This window comes from Homo sapiens, chromosome 6 (assembly GCF_000001405.40).
Source record: "Homo sapiens chromosome 6, GRCh38.p14 Primary Assembly".
In the NCBI taxonomy this organism is placed as follows: domain Eukaryota; kingdom Metazoa; phylum Chordata; class Mammalia; order Primates; family Hominidae; genus Homo; species Homo sapiens.
In genome coordinates this window covers 169,419,321-169,438,567 of record NC_000006.12, presented here as the reverse complement: position 1 = coordinate 169,438,567, position 19,247 = coordinate 169,419,321, and the positions used below count along the sequence as shown (strand labels likewise).

The 19,247-nt window shown below is 46.9% G+C and overlaps 1 protein-coding gene and 1 long non-coding RNA gene across 4 annotated transcripts in view, besides 1 other annotated feature; one reads left to right on the top strand and one right to left on the bottom strand.

Moving 5' to 3' along the window:
* WDR27 (WD repeat domain 27) overlaps window positions 1–12,148 on the top strand; it is a 275,610-nt gene extending 263,462 nt beyond the window's left edge. The window contains exons 26-28 of one of the 3 annotated variants that reach the window (XR_007059231.1): window positions 7,856–7,927; window positions 8,345–11,090; window positions 11,321–12,148. Coding sequence is in view for 2 of the 3 variants with exons in the window: in XM_011535688.4 (XP_011533990.1) it covers window positions 7,856–7,900 (45 nt within the window). In the remaining variant the exon portion in view is untranslated. Of the gene's footprint in view, window positions 1–7,855; window positions 7,928–8,344 lie in introns of all 3 variants that reach the window. The other 2 variants (XM_011535688.4, XM_011535687.4) reach the window with 2 other exon arrangements.
* Window positions 8,894–9,461: an enhancer, noted in NCBI's record as "H3K4me1 hESC enhancer chr6:169829202-169829769 (GRCh37/hg19 assembly coordinates)". NCBI's record gives its function as "activates a minimal SCP1, AML or CMV promoter by ChIP-STARR-seq in naive H9 embryonic stem cells {active_cell/tissue: H9 hESC(naive)}" and the evidence as "EXISTENCE:reporter gene assay evidence [ECO:0000049][PMID:30033119]".
* On the bottom strand, window positions 10,710–13,553 carry LOC124901473 (uncharacterized). The gene is made up of 2 exons (XR_007059894.1): window positions 13,428–13,553; window positions 10,710–12,395 (listed from the first exon to the last, which is right to left on the bottom strand). It is a non-coding gene; the product is annotated as an uncharacterized LOC124901473 (long non-coding RNA).
* Window positions 13,554–19,247: the final 5,694 nt, after the last annotated feature.

Below are 19,247 nucleotides of genomic sequence, written 5' to 3'. Positions count from 1 at the left end.
AATGCATGGCTTTTAGAAAAAGTAAAAGCATGGCTGGGTGCGGTGGCTCACGCCTGTAATCCCAGCACTTTGGGAGGCCGAGGTGGGCAGATCACGAGGTCAGGAGATCAAGACCATCCTGGCTAATATGGTGAAACCCCATCTCTACTAAAAATACAAAAAATTAGCCGGGTGTGGTGGTGGGTGCCTGTAGTCCCAGCTACTTGGGAGGCTGAGGCAGGAGAATGGCATGAACCTGGGAGGCGGAGCTTGCAGTGAGCTGAGATCGCGCCACTGCACTCCAGCCTGGGTGACAGAGCCAGACTCCGTCTCAAAAAAAAAAAAAAAAAAAGAAAAAGTAAAAGTAAAAACACGTGAAATTGCCTGGTTGCGTAGAACAACTTAGACACATCAAGAAAAGCCACGATCTCACTTATAAGTGGGAGCTAAACATTGAGTACACATAGATATAAAAATGAGAACAATGGAAAAGAAGTTGGAAACAATGGACACTGCAGACTACTTGGGGGTGAAGAAGGAGGGCATGGGTTGAAAAACTACCTATTGGGTACTATGCTCACTACCCAGGTGATGGGATCCAAACCCAAACCTCATCATCACACAGTATACCCATATAACAAACCTGAACATATACCCGCTGAATCTAACATAAAAGTTTAAATTATAAAAAAAAGAAGAGCCAAGAATACAGTCTCATGTTACCAGAGAAAACTTTAAGACAAACGTTGGCCAGCATCGGGCCACAATAGTAGTATAACTTAAAAAAAAATTGCAACAACTAACAAAAAAGTTGGAGAGTGTTGTTCTATAAAAATTGTTTTTAGAGATTATATTAATGACATAAAAATACATTACAATTCAAAATTTCTATATAATTATAGTTAGCTATAGTTGAGGAACTATAGTTAAGCAACAATATGTACCTTTTTAAGGAACGAAGAAAGAACAGAAGGTAAATCACATGGAGTGGGTTGCATATAAAGCCTAGCCACTGAGATATGGGTCTGAAAAGCTTCAAAAGGAAAATTCTACCTTGAGAAATGAATTTTTTTCCTACATGAAGAAGATAACACTTCTAATTTGAAAATAGGTAGAAACTGTAAAATAAGAAAAAGCTCTACTTCAGAAAATGGTTGAAAATGTAAAAAAACAGATTTCAGAATTAAGATAAAAACCCCTTGCAACTTTTTTAAAACCCACAGCAGATCAACATTCTGAGAAAACCTTGCTATTTCAAACATAGAGTACCAGACTTTGGTCCTTAATCAGTGCACCCCTGACACCAATACTTAATTATTAGAAAAACAAACAATTTCCTTCCAGTCCTAGCCAACTCAATCACATACAAAACTCACTTTATAAGATCCATCCTTCATAAACTCTCCATGATTTGCTTAGACCTGCCAGTTTTTGTTCTATAATTTCCCTTTTTAAAATATTGGAACAATCACTCATTTTACCTTAGGACAAAATTTTACTTTTTCTTCCCCCTATCTTTGAGACCACACAAAATTCTTACTCATACACATTACTTTTGCATATACATTTTCTTTGTATATGGAACTACATATATTAATTAGAAGTCTTAATGTTTAGTAACTTTAATTTTTAGTAAATACCCAGGAAGAAATTTTGAATTATAATGTATTTTTATCTCGGGACCAATATGTATTTTATAATGTCTAAAAATGATTTTTATGGAACAACTTTTAATGTGGAACAGGACATGATATTAATTGACCAACATGCCTTTTGTCTTTTTATAAAATTTAAGAAGGCAAAAATAAAGAAACATTAATTTATATTTAGCAATTAATGTTTCTGTATTTTAGCTTATTTAGAAATGACTCATGTTTTATCAATGTCTATGATTTAATTCAATATAATGGTAAGATTTCAAATTACATGAAAAGTTTATAAATCTCATTTACATTTACCTAATTTATTTATTTTTAACAATTACACATACTTTATGAAAACTGAGACATTAGACAGAGCTAGTAATTATTTCACATTATCTTCTAATCATTTTTTTAACAGCATGTGAATATCAGGTGTTCATCTAAGTAAGACTCTTAAAGTTAAATATATGGATACTTAGCTGATAACTCAGAAGATACAGTTGTTTTCATTAAACCAATAATATTAAACTAGTCTTATTTGTCAATAAGTTACATCAACAAAAATTATTTTGCTTTTAAGCTGGATTTATAGTTTTATGACCTTAAAACATCTGGTAGAGAAAAATATAATCCTGTCTGACCAATAAACTCAGGAAAAAATGTATGCTGACAATTCTGAAAACAGCTCTATTTTTGCTTTATGAATAAATTTAAAATCAGCTTATTTTTCAAAGATTTACTTAAGTCATAAGAACTAAGAGATATTTGGGTTGATTTCTATATTTGTGATGAATTAATTAAATGGTTATTTTCTCCTTAACCCGATAGAGCTCTTTTATATATTCTGGTTGAAAAAATGTATACATATAACATAACATACAGAGATTTAAAAAGCATAAAAAATACAGATGACCAAAAAACAAGAAACTTTCAGCTTTTATTTAAAAATTAATTATGAGTAAAACATAATAATATAAATTCACTGGTGTATGAGAAAACAGTTGGATTCAAATTATATTTGTGACAACATGAGATAGACGCAGCCAAACCATATCATTCTGCCCCTGGGCCCTCCCAAATCTCATGTCCTCACATTTCAAAACCAATCATGCCTTCCCAACAGTCCCTCAAAATCTTAACTCATTTCAGTATTAACTCAAAAGACCACAGTCCAAAGTCTCATCTGAGACAAGGCAAGTCCCTTCTGCCTATGAGCCTGTAAAATCAAAAGCAAGTTAGTTACTTCCAAGATACAATAGGAGTACAGGCATTGGATAAACACATTCATTCCAAATGGAAGAAACCGGTAAAACAAAGGGGCTAAAGGCCCCATGCAAGTCTGAAATCCAGTGGGGCAGTCAAATCTTAAAGCTACAAAATAATCTCCTTTGACTCCATGTCTCACGTCCAGGTCACACTCATACAGGAGGTGGACTCCCACAGCCTTGAGCAGCTCCACCCCTGTGGCTTTGCAGGGTACAGGCTTCCTCCCAGCTGCTTTCATGGGCTGGCATTGAGTGTTTGTGGCTTTTCCAGGAGCACGGTGCAAGTTGTTGGTAGTGTTGGTGGATCTACCATTCCGGGGTCTGGAGGATGGTCCCTTTTCTCACAGCTCCACTAGGCAATGCCCCAGTGGGGACTCACCCAACATTTCCCTTCTGCACTGCCCTAGCAGAGGTTCTCCGTGGGGCTCCCACCCCTGCAGCAAACTTCTGCCTAGACATCCAGGTGTTTCCATACATCCTCTGAAATTGAGGTGGAGGTTCCCAAACCTCAATTCTTGACTTCTGTGCACCCTCAGGTTCAACACCATGTGGAAACTGCCAAGGCTTGGGGCTTGCACCCTCTGAAGTCATGGCCTAAGCTATGCCTTGGACCCTTTTAGCCATGGCTAGAGCAGCTGGGACACAGGGCACCAAGTCCATAAGCTGCACACAGCAGGGGTGCCCTGGGCCCAGCCCATGAAACCATTTTTTACTCCTAGACCTCTGGGCTTGTGATAGAAGGGGCTGCTGTGAAGACCTCTGACATGTCCTGGAGACATTTTTCCCATTGTCTTGGTGATTAACATTTGGCTCCTTGTCACTTATGCAAATTTCTGCAACTGGCTTGAATTTCTCCCAGAAAGTGTGTTTTCTTTTTTTCCTATTGCATCATCAGTCTGCAAATTTTTTGAACTTTTATGCTCCATTTCCCTTGTAAAGCTGAATGCCTTTAACAGCACACAAGTCACATCTTGAATGCTTTGCTGCTTAGAAATTTCTTCCAGCAGATAACCTAAGGGCATGACTCTCAACTTCAAAGTTCCACAGATCTCTAGGGCAGGGGCAAAATGCCACAGGTCTCTTTGCTAAAACATAGCAAGAGTCAGAAAAAAAAAGTACTTTAAATTTCATATGGAACCAAGACAATTGTAAAAAGCTGGAGGCATCAAGCTACCTGACTTCAAACTATACTACAAGGCTACAGTAACCAAAACAGCATGGTACTGGTACTAAAACAGATATATAGACCAATGGAGCAGAACAGAGACCTCAGAAATAAAACCACACATCTAAACCCTCTAATCTTCAACAAACCTGACAAAAGCGATGGGGAAAGGATTTCCTATTTAATAAAAGCTGGGAAAACTGGCTAGCCATATGCAGAAAACAGAAACTGAACCCCTTCCTTACACCTTACACAAAATTAACTCAAGATGGATTAAGGACTTAAATGTAAAACCTAAAACCATAAAAAACCCTAGAAGAAAACCTAGGCAATACCATCGAGGACATAGGCATGGACAAAGACTTCATGACTAAAACACCAAAAGCAATGGCAACAAAAGCCGAAATTGACAAATGGGATCTAATTAAACTAAAGAGCTTCTGCACAGCAAAAGAAACTATCATCATAGTAAATAGGCAACCTACAGGATAGGAGAAAATTTTTGCAATCTATCCATCTGACAAAGGGCTAATATCCAGAATCTACAAGGAACTTAAGCAAATTTACAAGAGAAAAACAACCCCATACAAAAGTGGGGGAAGGATATGAACAGACACTTCTCAAAAGAAGACATTTATGTGGCCAACAAACATATGAACAAAAGCTCATCATCACTGGTCATTAGACAAATGCAAATCAAAACCACAATGAGATACCATCTCATGCCAGTTAGAATGGCGATCATTAAAAAGTCGGGGAACAACAGATGCTGGAGAAGATGTGGAGAAACAGGAACACTTTTACACAGTTGGTGGGAGTGTAAATTAGTTCAACCATTGTGGAAGACAGTGTGACAATTCCTCAAGGATCTAGAACCAGGAATACCATTTGACCCAGCAATGCCATTACTGGGTATATACCCAAAGGATTATAAATCATTCTACTATAAAGACACATGCACACATATGTTTATTGCAGCACTATTCACAATAGCAAAGACATGGAACTAACCCAAATGCCCATCAATGATAGACTGGATAAAGAAACTGTGGCACATATACACCATGGAATACTATGCAGCCATAAAAAAGAATGATTTCTGATCTTTTGCAGGGACATGGATGAAGCTGGAAACCATCATTCTCAGCAAACTAACACAGGAACAGAAAACCAAACACCGCATGTTCTCACTTGTAAGTGGGAGTTGGACAATGAGAACACATGGAAACAGGGAGGAGAACATCACAAACTGGAGCCTCTTTTGGGGTGGGAGGCAAGGGGAGGGAGACCCCTGCTAATGCATGTGGGGCTTAAAACCTAGATGATGGATTGATAGGTGCAGCAAACCACCATGGCACATGTATATCTATGTAACAAACCTGCATGCTCTACACATGTATCCCAGAACTTAAAGTAAAAAACAGACAAACAACAAAAAAACAAAAAACATAGCAACAGTCACCTTTACTCCAGTTCTCAACAAGTTCCTCATCTCCATCTGAGACTACCTCAGCCTGGATTTTATTATCCATGTCATTATCAGCATTTTACTCAAAGTGATTCTACAAGCCTCTAGGAAGTTCCAAATTTTCCCTCATTTTCCTGTCTTCTAGCCCTCCAAGTCTCTAGGAAGTTCCAAACTTTCCCACATTTTCCTGTCTTCTTCTGAGCCCTCCAAACTGTTCCAACCTCTGCCTGTTACCCAGTTCCAAAGTCACTTCCACATTTTCCGGTATCTTTACAGCAGTGCCCCACTACCTGGTACCAGTTTACTGTATTAGTCGATTTTCACACTGATGATAAAGGCATACCTGAGACAGGGTAATTTATAAAGAAAAAGAGGTTTAATTGACTCACAGTTTCACGTGACTGGGGAGGCCTCATGCTCATGGTGAAAGGTGAAAGGCACGTCTTACATGGTGGTAGTCATGAGGAAATGAAAGCCAAGCAAAAAGGGAAACCCCTTGTAAAACCATCAGATCTTGTAGGACTTATTCATTACCACAAGAACAGTATGGAGAAAACTGCCCCCATGATTTAATTACCTCCCACTAGGTCCCACCTACAACATATGGGAATTATGGGAGCTACAAGATGAGATTTGGGTGGGGACACAGCCAAACCCTATCAGCTGTGAACAAAATTTTTGGTAAAGCTGTTTGAGTCAGTTACCAGTATACTGGATTGGACAAAGCATAGTTAACTGTGAAAATGTGTCTGAATTAGGTGAGGAGATTTAAAAGATAAGAGTTATTCTAATAAAGTTTTACAGTATGTTTTTGGTCTCAGTTCCTCATCCTTGAAAATAAAACGATTGTCTTTCTAGTGTAGGGAAGGCTACTTCTACATGGCAATTTTCTCTTTTGCTTTTGAGAAACACTGCAATGCTAAAAATGTTTGTGTGTGTGACTGCTGTTTTTCAAGTGTCTTCACTTAAATAGTCAATATGCCAGAATAGCTGAGGAATTTTGAAAAAAAGAAAGTTTAGATTACAGGAGGATAAAAAAGAGGACGTGTAGGAAGTGGAGGAAAATGCCCTGAAGAGAAAAGACTCTGAGCTTACTCGGAGACCGTAGTTTGCAGTGAGGCAATCTTTGGGTTCTGAAAGCATTTTGGAACCTTAAGATACCAGTTGAGAAATGTGTTCTATTTAGATTGTATATTTTATATAAAGCCACAATCTTTTACTTTAATTCTAAGAAAAATAAATTGTTTGAATGATCCTCATACTGTTTGAACATGCTGGAGTCCCAGGACGGAGGTACTATCTTGGCAAGTATTTAAACTTTGACAGTCCATATTGTAAGCAAATTTATATAGGTGATTTAGTTTAATATCAAATGCACAAAAACTGAAATAAAATCCAAGTGGGCAAATGAACCTAAAGATAAAGTACATACTCATCAGGAAGGATGGCAAGCCACCTTTAACAGGGAAAAAAATCCCTCATAAACAGGAGGCTTATAATCAGGAGGGGAAAAGACACATCTTAAATCCCAAAGAAAACCAAATAATCAATATAAAAATGGGAGCTCCATCCAAGAAAGACTCACATAGGAGAAAGGTGACCTGGGAAAGCAGAGGGCTAAAGAGCCCTAAGTGTGGGGGCTGCGTGTTGTAGTTTCAGCAGCTGTTGATGTGTCAAGTGAGTGCTTTGGATCCCACTTCTGACACCAAGAATGTCAAAGTCAAATGAAAATTTAGAGAGACCCCTCTAAATAAAATGTTTTATTTGGAAAATCAGAATTGCAATTTAGGACACACATACAGACTGGGGCAGTCTTTGATATATCCAATGCACAAAGAGAAGTTTGAGGGTTTTATTAGAAAGATAAATATATTATCTTGAAAAACAAATTATTGGCGCTAGTGAGGCTTTGGGAGCTGGCAAGCCCTAACTGGTGAGTGACAGTTGCAGGTAACACTGGCCTTAGAGCCATGGCAGTTCACTTGGGCAGCTACCAGGTAAAACTGATCTTAGGTGACAGCAAGTCATTCAGCAGACAGAATCCCTGGGCAAGCAGTGTGTGCCCTGAGTGCTCCCACCCCCGGTCTCTTGACTATAGTTTATATGGGCAGGACAAGATAACTCTGATTCATATCATCCATTTCTTCATAGTAGGCACTTGAGAGGGGCCGCCTATGTATGATGCCATGGTTAAAGAAACTCCAGTCAACTTCCTCCCCACCGGGAAAAACTGTTCCAGCTAATCATGGGGTTCACAATTCTAACAAGAAAAGATTCATTTACGTTTCTTTGAATGACTTTCAGCTTACAAGGTTCTTTATAATTACTATTACAGATGAGGACAGCTCTGTGCCAGAGAATGAGCTGGGATCTGCCCTGACAAGTGGAGCCTCGTTTGAAAGTGTCGGTAAAGTTTCTTCCAAGTTATGATGTTCCTGTTTTCCTTCTTCATCCTTGTGGAAGCTACAGCTTTCCATTTGAACTTCCCTCGTCCTCATTCAGGACATATAATGAGGCCTACTAGGTTTCCGGCACTTGGGGCTGGAGATGTAGGAGGGACAAAACAGCCACAGAAGCCACTTGTGCAGAGCTTGCATCTTTCCTGTTGTTCAGCCCAACATGCTGGATTCATTTCTGACTCCTTCCTTTCTTTCACACCACACATCTGATTCTCTACCAGACCGTCTGGTCCTGTGTCAAAGCATACCCCTAGCCTAGCTGCAAGCTCCTACTACACTGTGGGGCCTGTTCAAAGGCTGCCTGGCCTTCCCTTGCCCTGTAGCAGGTAGGCGGGTGCTCACCAAGCTCTCCCTTCTTTCTTCAGGTAACAGGCTCTGTGTCTGAACCAAAGTTTCCCTTGCAACCTGGTGTGGCTGCATGATGGAGTTTGGGCCGTGACATATGGTGGGTTTGACGTGTGCCACTCTTAGGGCCAACTTCTAAAGCCTCCAAGACACAGCCCCATGCCCTGTGCCCTTCTGCAGCTCAGAGCAGATGAGCCCAGTGACCTTGAGGCCCTTGAAGATGGTGGAACCAGGAGACATGAGGGGCCTTGGCCTGGAAACACAACTCGAAGGGAAATCACTCATCTGGAAAACGTGTTTGGACCCATACCACACCGTGGCAAATACCTGGTAAAACTGTCATCTGAAATTGCTTGGAAATAGGACACTACCACCTAAACCCACAGCTCGTAGGCCAGGGCACCTCAACTGTAGTCCCCAGACCAGCAGCATCGGTGTTACCTGGAAAATTAAAAATGCAAAGTTTTGGGCCCACTTCAGACCCCAGGTCAGAAATTGTGGGTTGCAGAAATCTGTGTTTTAATAACCCTTCAGATGACTGTGGTGCCCGACAAAGTTGAAATGCCTGCTCCCATGTGTGCTGGGTTTAGTTTGTGCTTTAGCAAAGCGGGATAAGAAAGAAAGGAGGCCAGGATGGAATTCGCTGGTTTCCAACTAGAAGTGACAGAAAATAGAAAGAGTCCAGTAATGTGAGGTCTTGAAGTGTTGGGAGAATTCATTCATCACTTCTAGATTCCAGACAATCAGAAATAAAATTTTAAAAGTCTTTCAATGACAAACTAAGACTTCTCAGTTGGGAAAAAAAAAAAAAAAGGACTCAGTCTTGTTGCAGACATGAGATGAAGAGTGTGGTCTTTTCACAAATGCCTGTGCAAGGGAGTCAAGGACAGAAGCCATCCGGTGGGCTCCTTGGCACGGGGGCGGCTGAAGCAAACCAACCAGGAGCCCACGCAGCTGTCAAGGGCTTGTGTCAGCAAGTAAAGCCTAGACTGCTTGTGACTGTGAAGTGTAAAAGTGCCCCTGGGTCCTCAGGCCTGTGGACAGGACAAAGCCAAAGCCGCCCAGCGCCGTGTGATGCGGCCACAGAGAACACGAGCCTCGGGAGAGAGGAGCCTGGGGCTGGAAAACAAGGGTGAAGGACGCTCCCCTCTGGCTGCAGGAGAGGGGCTGCTGAGGGCAAGATCCATCATTTCTTGGGACCAATGATGCTGCTTCCTACTCTCTGCTTTCTGCCTGGGAGTTTTGTCTGGGACGCCTGTGTCTGCCCCACTCACTGTGTGGTGCAAGCTCCATTTCCAGTGAGGACAACCGTGGCTGCCGAGAGCACCTTACAAGCCAGGCATCCTCCTCTGAGCTCAAGGCAGCCTTGAGAAGTGGGACGAAGACTTCCTTCACGGGAAGAGGAGCGGCTCAGAGAAAGGAAGAGGCTAGTCCAGAACCACCACGTGGACATCTTCTGTGAAGGCAAGGGCTCACCCTCACCCTGACGCCAGCCACCTGCCCCTCTTAATAGGAGGGCGGGCCCTCCCCGCACAGCAGGCACTTCACTGCAGGCTCTGCTGCCTTTGGGAAATGTGCCTCCCTTGTAGAGCTCTGTGGTGCAGATTCGGCTATCAAAGGAGTAGAACCCCCCCCTCCCCCCCGCCACCGTCCCACCCCCACAGAGCAGCTAAGAAAGCTGTTTGATTTAACCCGTGGTTTCCCAAATACTTTAGACCACTAATTAATTTTGTTTTCTGAAACATTCGTTAATATGTTCACAGAAAATTGTGGCATTCACTTTGGAAAATATATCTGTTTAAGAACAGATAATGAATACATAACAAATTTAGAACTGTGTTAAGATTCCATAACTAAAACCACTCTAAACTTTCTGAAATGGCTGAAAACGTTTCCCTAACTTTTCTGAAAGTACTTGCTGGGCTTCTTGGAGACTGAATCATCCCTTTTGAGCCCACTTAGGGGAAAGTTCAAAAGACCTCAGAGAAGACAAAAAGCAGGGCAAGAGAGACGGCCCAGTCTTCTAGCTCTCCACTGGAGAAAATGCATGTGGGAAAGGCTGGGGGTTTCCATCCTCAATATTTAGTAAAAGATAAAGTAAAAATTACAACTGCCTTCTGAATGGCTCCCCTCCCCTGACTTCATGGGAGTGATGACTCAGCCCTCTGTTTTGTAACTGCGGAGATTGAAAGTGGAGACGGGACCTTTGGCATTTCAGAAAATGTCGACGCCGCTTTCTTCTGCTTTCTCCGGGACCCCTCTGGGGCCTCGCCTCCTCCCCTCCCGCTGAAAGCCTGCTGTGAAAGGAGCAAGGATGTGAAAAAGATGTACGACTCTTTGCTTCCTTATGCTCGGCCCAAGTTTATCAAAAGCTGTGGAGTTTGCTAAAATAATCCAGGGAATTCGCCTGGAAATGGTTTTTTTTTTTTTTTTTGGTTGTTGTTTGTCTTCACTTGTTCCAAAGAAGCAAAATAAGACAGGGGCTGCCCCTTGTCCTGTCTCATTCATTTTTGACACCCTTGTTTCTCCACACAGGCCCTGGGGTGAAGGGCACAGGTGGGATTCAGAATAGAAATGACTCGAGGGACGCAAGGAGTTGGGATCAGAAGAAGCAGCAGAAACTCCTGCTCTGCAGACACAGCAGACATTACTGGGAAAGACACCAGAGACCCAGGAGTTCACCCAAGTCCTCTGCACACTGTCTTCCCAGCCCTCTCTCCTGGATCTGAGATGATTTCACTTAAAAACACAAGCCTTTGCTTAAAGGTAGATGAACATTCCTTTCAGTTTCTAAGATGGGGGGCCCACGGTCCTAGGCGCTGAGTCAGAAACTTTTTAGATGTCCCCAGAGTGCACAGGTTTAAGGACAGAGGGAGATTCTCAGTCTTCCTGGGTCCTCCCTGTCTCTCAGCCCAGTCATCACACTCTAAATCCCAGGGACTTGACTCTGCCTTCCAATAGTTCTCAGATCCACCTACTTTGCTCCCTTCTTTCAGAGCGCAGGTAGCCACTTGCTCTCCCAGAGAGTGCTGCAGCGGTGATGATCGGTTTCCCCCCTCCCCACCTGCTCAGTCCTGCAAAGCCTGGACTCTGCTCCAAGGCCTTTGGGACCCAACACCTGCTTTCCAGCCTCAGGGCCTCAGGCCTGAGACCACAGGGGCTCTTCCCGGCGGCTGTACCTCCTGCCATTCACCTGCTGATTTCTTCCTCATCTGTTTATTCCTCTGATCCAACAAGGTCAGGATGGTATGCAACCGCCACCCCCCCCCCACTGCCCCCACCACCACAGCACTGCCACGACCCTTGTCTGGGACGGATGATGTGGGGCTGCACTTCCTCTGTCGGCCCCCTGCCCTCGTCAGGAGGCCCAGCATGTAGCAGGCAAGCAGCAGGCAGCAGGCAGGTGCTGAGTGGGTGTGGAAGGTGTGGCCCCTCACACCTCTGTGTCCTATGCTCAGCGCTGTGCTTGGGCATGGCGAGGCCTCAGCAGATACTGTGCAGCACAGTGACACCAATGGAACCCAGTAAAAAGACAGTTTCCAATTTTCCTCGCTGCTGGGGCCCACCCAGATCCTGGAGCAGAGCATGGCCTGCAGGAAGCACAGGCTGGTGGACTGTGGCTGTGTCACGGCGAGCTTCCAGTGGCTCTCGCAGAACTCAATTGGCACGGTAAAGGGACAAATGAAGTTTCCAGCTTTTTTCTTTTAATAGCTCAGATATCAATTTTATAGCTCTGATGGACATAATTTATAAAATAAGTCTATATCTTACTGTAAATTTGAGACGGTTAACCTTTAATAAAGTTAATAAGGGGCTTGTCAAAACTCCTGAGCTGAACTTTGCTTGCTCGTTACATAATAACAACGAAGTGATTTTAACCTAAACTGCAGCTATTTTGGCCATTTAAAGGTGAGGAAAGAGAGGGGATGGGCAGGAAAAGTAGTTTTTCCATCGTCCTGGAAGAACTGCCAGGTGAAGGTGATGGGGAGGCTGGCGTTTTAATTCCTCTAATGGCTCAGATCAGCTGCACCTGGGTGTGTGTCCCTTGCTCATCAGCGCACGCTGGCGGGCCTGCGGAGGCACGAGGTGTCTTTAAGCCGAGAGCAGGAAGCAAAGTTTCTGGAAAAACTGAGGGGCGCAGGGAGCACGGACTGGGTCTTCAGGAGCAGTGTGGCTGAGCTGTGGAAATGGACACATCCACTGTCCCAGATATTATGAAAATGAACCCCTCACTCTGAGCTCTTTCGAGAGGAATCCTCAAGTATGGAGCCCAAAGAAAAAGGGCTGTGTCCATGCCTGGGCTGGGCTCTGCAAGAATGCACAACAAATCACCACCCCAGACAAACACTTCCAGGCACCTCCCGACATACTCCTAAACACTTCCCCAGGCACTCCGGGCGCCTCCCCACACGCTGCCAGGCGCCTCCCCACACGCTGCCAGGCGCCTCCCCACACGCTGCCAGGCGCCTCCCCACAGACTCCCAGGCGCCTCCCCCCACGCTCCCAGGCGCCTCCCCACACGCTCCCAGGCGCCTCCCCACACGCTCCCAGGCGCCTCCCCACAGACTCCCAGGCGCCTCCCCACACGCTCCCAGGCGCCTCCCCACACGCTGCCAGGCGCCTCCCCACACGCTGCCAGGCGCCTCCCCACAGACTCCCAGGCGCCTCCCCACAGACTCCCAGGCGCCTCCCCACACGCTCCCAGGCGCCTCCCCACAGACTCCCAGGCGCCTCCCCACAGACTCCCAGGCGCCTCCCCACACGCTGCCAGGCGCCTCCCCACAGACTCCCAGGCGCCTCCCCACAGACTCCCAGGCGCCTCCCCACACGCTGCCAGGCGCCTCCCCACAGACTCCCAGGCGCCTCCCCACACGCTGCCAGGCGCCTCCCCACAGACTCCCAGGCGCCTCCCCACACGCTGCCAGGCGCCTCCCCACAGACTCCCAGGCGCCTCCCCACACGCTGCCAGGCGCCTCCCCACAGACTCCCAGGCGCCTCCCCACACGCTCCCAGGCGCCTCCCCACACGCTCCCAGGTACCTCCCCATGGTCCCAGCTACCTCCCCACAGATTCCCAGGCGCCTCCCTGCACGTTCCCAGACACCTTCCCAGGCGCTGCCAGCCTCCTCCTGCGCACAGATCGGGAGGTCCCTGGACTTCCACTTGTTGAGCTGGACTCAAGCCGGATCGCCTGGAGGATATTCTCAGGGCACAGCGGCTGCCTGCGCCTGAGCAGTGCTGAGGAGATGCCAAGGTCAGGCATCAGCTTTCAGAGAATGCAGCTGCGTCAGAGATGGAGACACGCAGAGCCACGTGTCGTGGAGAATCTAAGGAAGTTCGCTGGCGCCAGCAGCGGGAAAAGGCCCTGGCTTGATGAGGGGAACTCGCAGCCTTGCAGCGCGGGTGGGAGCCCCGGGCGGAACCGCAGAAGCATCCCCGGCCGTGGGGTTTTCTCCTCCAGCTGGAGACGTGGAGGGAGTGGAGCAGAGATGAGCTGTGAGCTCAGCAGTTCACACAGGACGGGATGGGGGAGGAGAACCCAGGGATGGGAGAGATTGGAGAACAAGGAGCTGCTGGGTCTCAGCCTCGTGTAGACGACAGGGCCTGTGGGGATGGCCACGCGTGAATCTGGTCCTGGCGGGGAGCGTCCGGCGCGATGGGAGGGACCTGCAGCCAGTGATCCTCCCGTGGCATCGCTTCTAGAGTTGAGAGGAGAAAGCCAGTAGCTGCCGGTCTCTGGTGGGTCTCACAGATGCTGGAGCAGGTGTAGGAGGAAGCGCCTCCAGCAGGAGTGACACCCCCATGCCGCCCAGGAAGGTGTCGCGCCTGTTAGGAGGGAAAGGACTCAGGATGTGCGTTGCATGGGGTTGTGAGTGAGTCAGTGGCAGCCCCCCCGCCTCCTCCTCCTGCTTTGACCTGATGCAGGATGGACTCAGCACCCCGCCGAAGGCACTCCCATTCCCCTCTGCATATGGTTTTCATCATGTGGACCTTCAATAGCTATTTTTGATTGATGGGTATTCAGTGGGATTCAACATCCGTAAACGTTCTGACCCAAGTCCTGTTGATCAATGGCGTCACCGCACGGCCTTTTTGACCCAAGTCTGCACCATTCTGTCTTTCCTGGAGTCACCCTTCGAGTGCTCTATGTGACCGTGGCCTCCTGCGGAGTCTGCCCTTGGCTCACGGCTGGACAGACATTGGCTCTTGGCGTCTCTCATGTTGGTCACCCCTCCAGCTGCTCTGCAGCAACAATGCCCCTTTCCATTCATAGAAGGTCGTTATCGTGCTTGCACTCGGGACTGAGTTCACATTGCCTTCTACCTGCCAGAGAAGCTCTGAGCTCCTGGAGGAATGTTCCTTTTCTTCTGATGAAAAATGACGAGGTGAACCCCTCGTGCCTCGGCGTAATGTGGTCATCAGAGGTCGTGAGAAGAGCACAGAAATGCGTGTTTCTCATAATCGCCTGGATGCTAATCACTGCGTCAAAACCTCCCGTGAGCCGCTTTCTCCACAGAATGGAGGTGGCCGGGCGCGGTGGCTCACGCCTGTAATTCCAGCACTTTGGGAGGCCGAGGCGGGTGGATCACGAGGTCAGGAGATCGAGACCATCCTGGCTAACACGGTGAAACCCCGTCTCTACTAAACATACAAAAAATTAGCCGGGCGTGGTGGCGGGTGCCTATAGTCCCAGCTACTCTGGAGGCTGAGGCAGGAGAATGGCGTGAGCCCGGGAGGCGGAGCTTGCAGTGAGCTGAGATCGCGCCACTGCACTCCAGCCTGGACGACAGAGCGAGACTCCGTCTCAAAAAAAAAAAAAAATGGTGGAAATGCCCCTTCCTCTAACTGCAGCTGTGCACATCCCCCTGGGGACAGACCCAAGGCGCCTTGAGATGCTGAAAGGCGTTCTCTGTGTTCTGAGTGGAAGTACAGCCTGGAAAGTCCACGGAGACTCTGCTCTGAGTGAGCCGAGCTGGACAGAGGGGCTTTTGAGTCAAAGTTTTCTCCTCCTTGCACTTTGCCAGAAAATCTCAATTGCTAGTGAGGAATTCTTTTCCTTTCTTTCCCTAACGAAGTGAGTGATGAGACTGGCTCTTTTGCATATTTGCAGGGAGTAAGCATTGTCTGGATTTTCACTGAGTTTACCTCAGCAACTTTTTAAAAACTTTACTCCAAAGGGAGCCAATGTGCCCTTCCTTTGACGTAGAAAACTATTATTTTAAAATTCTGCCATTCGGCATTACTCTGATTTTTCTGAATAATTAGACTCAAAACACTCTGGTTTATTCCCATCTCAAAGGTCTTAGGGCAGTGGATGCCGCCTTTGCTTCTGTTTGCTGCAGCCTGTTTGAGTGGCAGGCTCTTTGCCCTCGTTGGCCAGTCCCCACATTCTGGTGACGCTTTTCTCCTGCCTCTTGGCCCCCAGTCACATTTTCCATGGTGACTCTTTCAACCTCAGCCTTCACGTTTCAAGTCATGCATCCACTTTGTTTTCCTGTTTCAGTAGACCCCCCTCTGAGTTTACTGAGCACTTTGAGACCACTTGGTACCAGGGCACAGCCTCCTCATCTCCAAACGCATGGGTTCCATCACAAGCGGGCCTGATCGCACATGGCAGCTCTCGTCTCCCAGTTATTGCATGCACATGTGTGTTTGGCCAGGTTGGCTTTAGGTTCATTAAAGGCAGTGCCTTTTCTTCATGTTTTATTTCTCTCCATCTGCAATGTGTTGTGGAGTGGAGGCACCGTCCGTTCACGCACTCAGGCCTTCAGAACGTAGCTCCCGAGTGCTTGCTGTGGGCCCCATTCCACCTGCTGGCTGAGTGGTGAACAAAGCTCAAGGAGCTGCCTCCTCCAAGCGAAGGGAGGACACCAGGCACAACAGCGTAGAGTGTGGAGTCAGGAGCGTTTGGAGAAAAGCAAACAGGAAAGGTATGGAGCACCCACCGGGGGCATCTATGTAGAATTATTGGACATGGAGTCAAGGACAGGATGACATTTTAGGGGACATATAAGGATATGAGGGGCAGGCAGTTTGGATGACGAGGGGAAGGGCATCCATGCAGAGGAATAGGTAGGAGGCCCTGTGGGAGGCACATGCTCAGCATGGCCAGGGATTGGCAGGAGGACCCTGGGGCCGAGTCAGGGAATGGGGCGGCAGGAGATAAGCTCAGACGTGAACTGTCAGGTAGGGCGTGGCACAGGCTTGTAACGAGGCCATGGTGGGCTGCTGGAAGGACTTTGACACTGGAAGCCACTGGAGGGTTTTGAGCAGAAAAATGATTAGATTTCATTTTTCCAAAACATGACCCTGGTGCAAAGAGTTTAGACAACGAAGTTGGGGGGCATATTGCCAACATTACACTCACGTCTACCCCAAATGCAGGTTCCAGGCTTCCGAAACAACCCTCAGCTTCAATGATTCACTGGATGGACTTGTGGAATTCCCTGAGAGCTGCTGTGCACATGCTGACAGTTTATCACAGGGCAAGGGTACAGATAAAATAAGCTGGGGCCAGAGCACACGGGGCGGCATCCAGGAGAAGCCCTGAGGCAGCACTTCCATCACACTCGGCCCAGGATGAGCTGCTTCCTTGGCCTCCGTGTGTGACAACCCGCAGGGCTTCTGCTGCTGCCTGGCCTGGAGACCCCACTCAGTCACACCATCACCATCCAGCAAGCCCAAGGCACCCAGAAGGATAAAGATCGCTCCCAGGACCTGAGGACAAAAGCAGACATTTTGGGGGCACGGGTAGATTTTTACTACACACCTGGCTTCTGTGTGAATGAGAAACCATTGAGTCTCAGGAAATGCTGTCATCTTCTATCTAAATTTATTTTCTTATCCAGGGAAGGAACTGCAAACACAACTAATATTTCAGCCTCTCTTGGAGGAGGATGAATTCCTCTGAATTGATGATGTGTCTGAGCTGCCTGTTCTAGTTAGAGAAACACTAAGCGAAACATTCACGGGTCATGTCCTGGATAATTGATTTTAGCTCAGACCTTGGCAATATCATCTTTAGAAAAGAAAAGCTTTCTCTAATGCTTGGTCACTTCTTTGTTCCTAGGGAGATATAAGTGACAGCCACCTGGTGGTCAGGAGAACAAACTGCCGCCGTGTCTCCACACCCTGTGTGTCCTGAACACCGCTGGGAAGCCGTCAGCAGACGCTCCGCAGGCCACCGGGGCGATCGGGGCACTAAAGGCCAAGCAGGCTTCACACACTGCCAAAGTCCAGGTGACCAGAGAGTATGACCGGACACAAAGGTGGGACAAGCCGTTTCTCATTGTTACTGAGAAGCAACTGTGAGTGAACAAAGCTTACAGAGAGATCCGAGATCAGATGGGTACCCATGGCAGGAGGGGAGGCGTTTATGAGAGTCCCCGGTGGGCACATATTAAAAAAAGCTAAGTAGAAAAATCACTGAGAACTCATAACTGGTCAATGAGTTCAGGTAGACAATGAGGGAGGGTTTGGAGGATGGCGAAAGATCAAAGGGGCCCTGATGGAGTGGGAGGTTCAGAGGGAGGAGACGCTGCCATGTTCAGCCTCCAGGAGCCACCACAGGTTGTGCATAGGTGCTGTGTTGACTTCTGCTGAGGAAATTCACAAAATATACTTCCCCCAGAGAAGGAGGAATGTGGAGCAGGCGTTAAAAAGCAGCCTGCACTCACCTTCGGAGGCCCTCGGTGGGATGTCCTCTTCCCAGCCCTTTCCTTTCTCTCCCTCGGGTGCCTTTTCCTGCCTGGTTTCCTTGGTTATTGTGTTTGGAATGCAACTTTGACTAGTTGTTGAATGGTGAAGTGGCAAATGGTAGGTGGATTCTGGCTTGCCGCACCCATCCCACAGGTGGAGGTCTTGTGAGAACGACTCCAGCAGCCTCCAGACAAATGACTGTTGACTAAAGTGAAATGTTATGCACATGAAATGCAAGAGATGACTAGACACGCACTGGATGGAATTCCACAGCAGGTGGGAGACTTGGGAAAGATCCTTGTTTTCGTAAGAAAACACAATCTCAGCTGGGTGCGGTGGCTCACGCCTGTAGTCCTGGCACTTTGGGAGGTCGAGGTGGGCAGATCACCTGAGGCCAGGAGTTTGAGACCAGCCTGGATAACATGGTGAAACCCCGTCTCTACTAAAAAATATGAAAATTAGCTGGGCCTGGCGGCACCTGTGGTCCCACTTACTCGGGAGTCTGAGGCAGGAGAATCGCTTGAGCCCGGGAGGCAGAGGTTGCAGTGAGCCAAGGTTGTGCCTGTGCACTCCAGCCTGGGCAACAGCGTGAGATCCTGTCTCAAAAAAAAAAAAAAAAAAAAAAAAAGAAGAGAAAGAAAAAGAAAACACGGTCTTCAAATCCCATAACCTGAGCACAAAAGACTCTTGGCTCGCTGATTCGTCTCCCACCTCCTCCTCCCCGCACAGGGACAGATACTGACCGGGTGTGAGAGTAAGGCCCCGTGAAGACGAACCTTGGGGAGCTCACTGGGGTCCCTACTTGGAATTTTAAAGCAAAACCATGTTGCTGGAAGTGAAATCCTCTTCAGATTTACGAATTATGGGGCTCCATTGGAGGAAACAATCCCTATGGGCCAATGACCTCGTTTCATCCCAAATTATCCTCTGGTTTTACAACTGGTTAGTTTCTTGTATTTCCAGGATTTATAAATTGCAAGTTTGCTTGTGAAGTGGTAGAATCCATTTTTGAATTTGTTTCTTAACTATTGATAGGGCTAGTAAAATTCAAATGATTGCATAAACCTTAGAAACTAAGGTCAGTTCAGTGAACATTCTTGGTGCTATTTCAACAATCCTTGAAGGTTTAACACGTCTGTGATATTACTGTGTGATTTCGTGTTATCACTGTCTTATGTGCATTCTAAGCATGAAACTGTGTCCAGTAGCTGTTTTTGAGGACCCT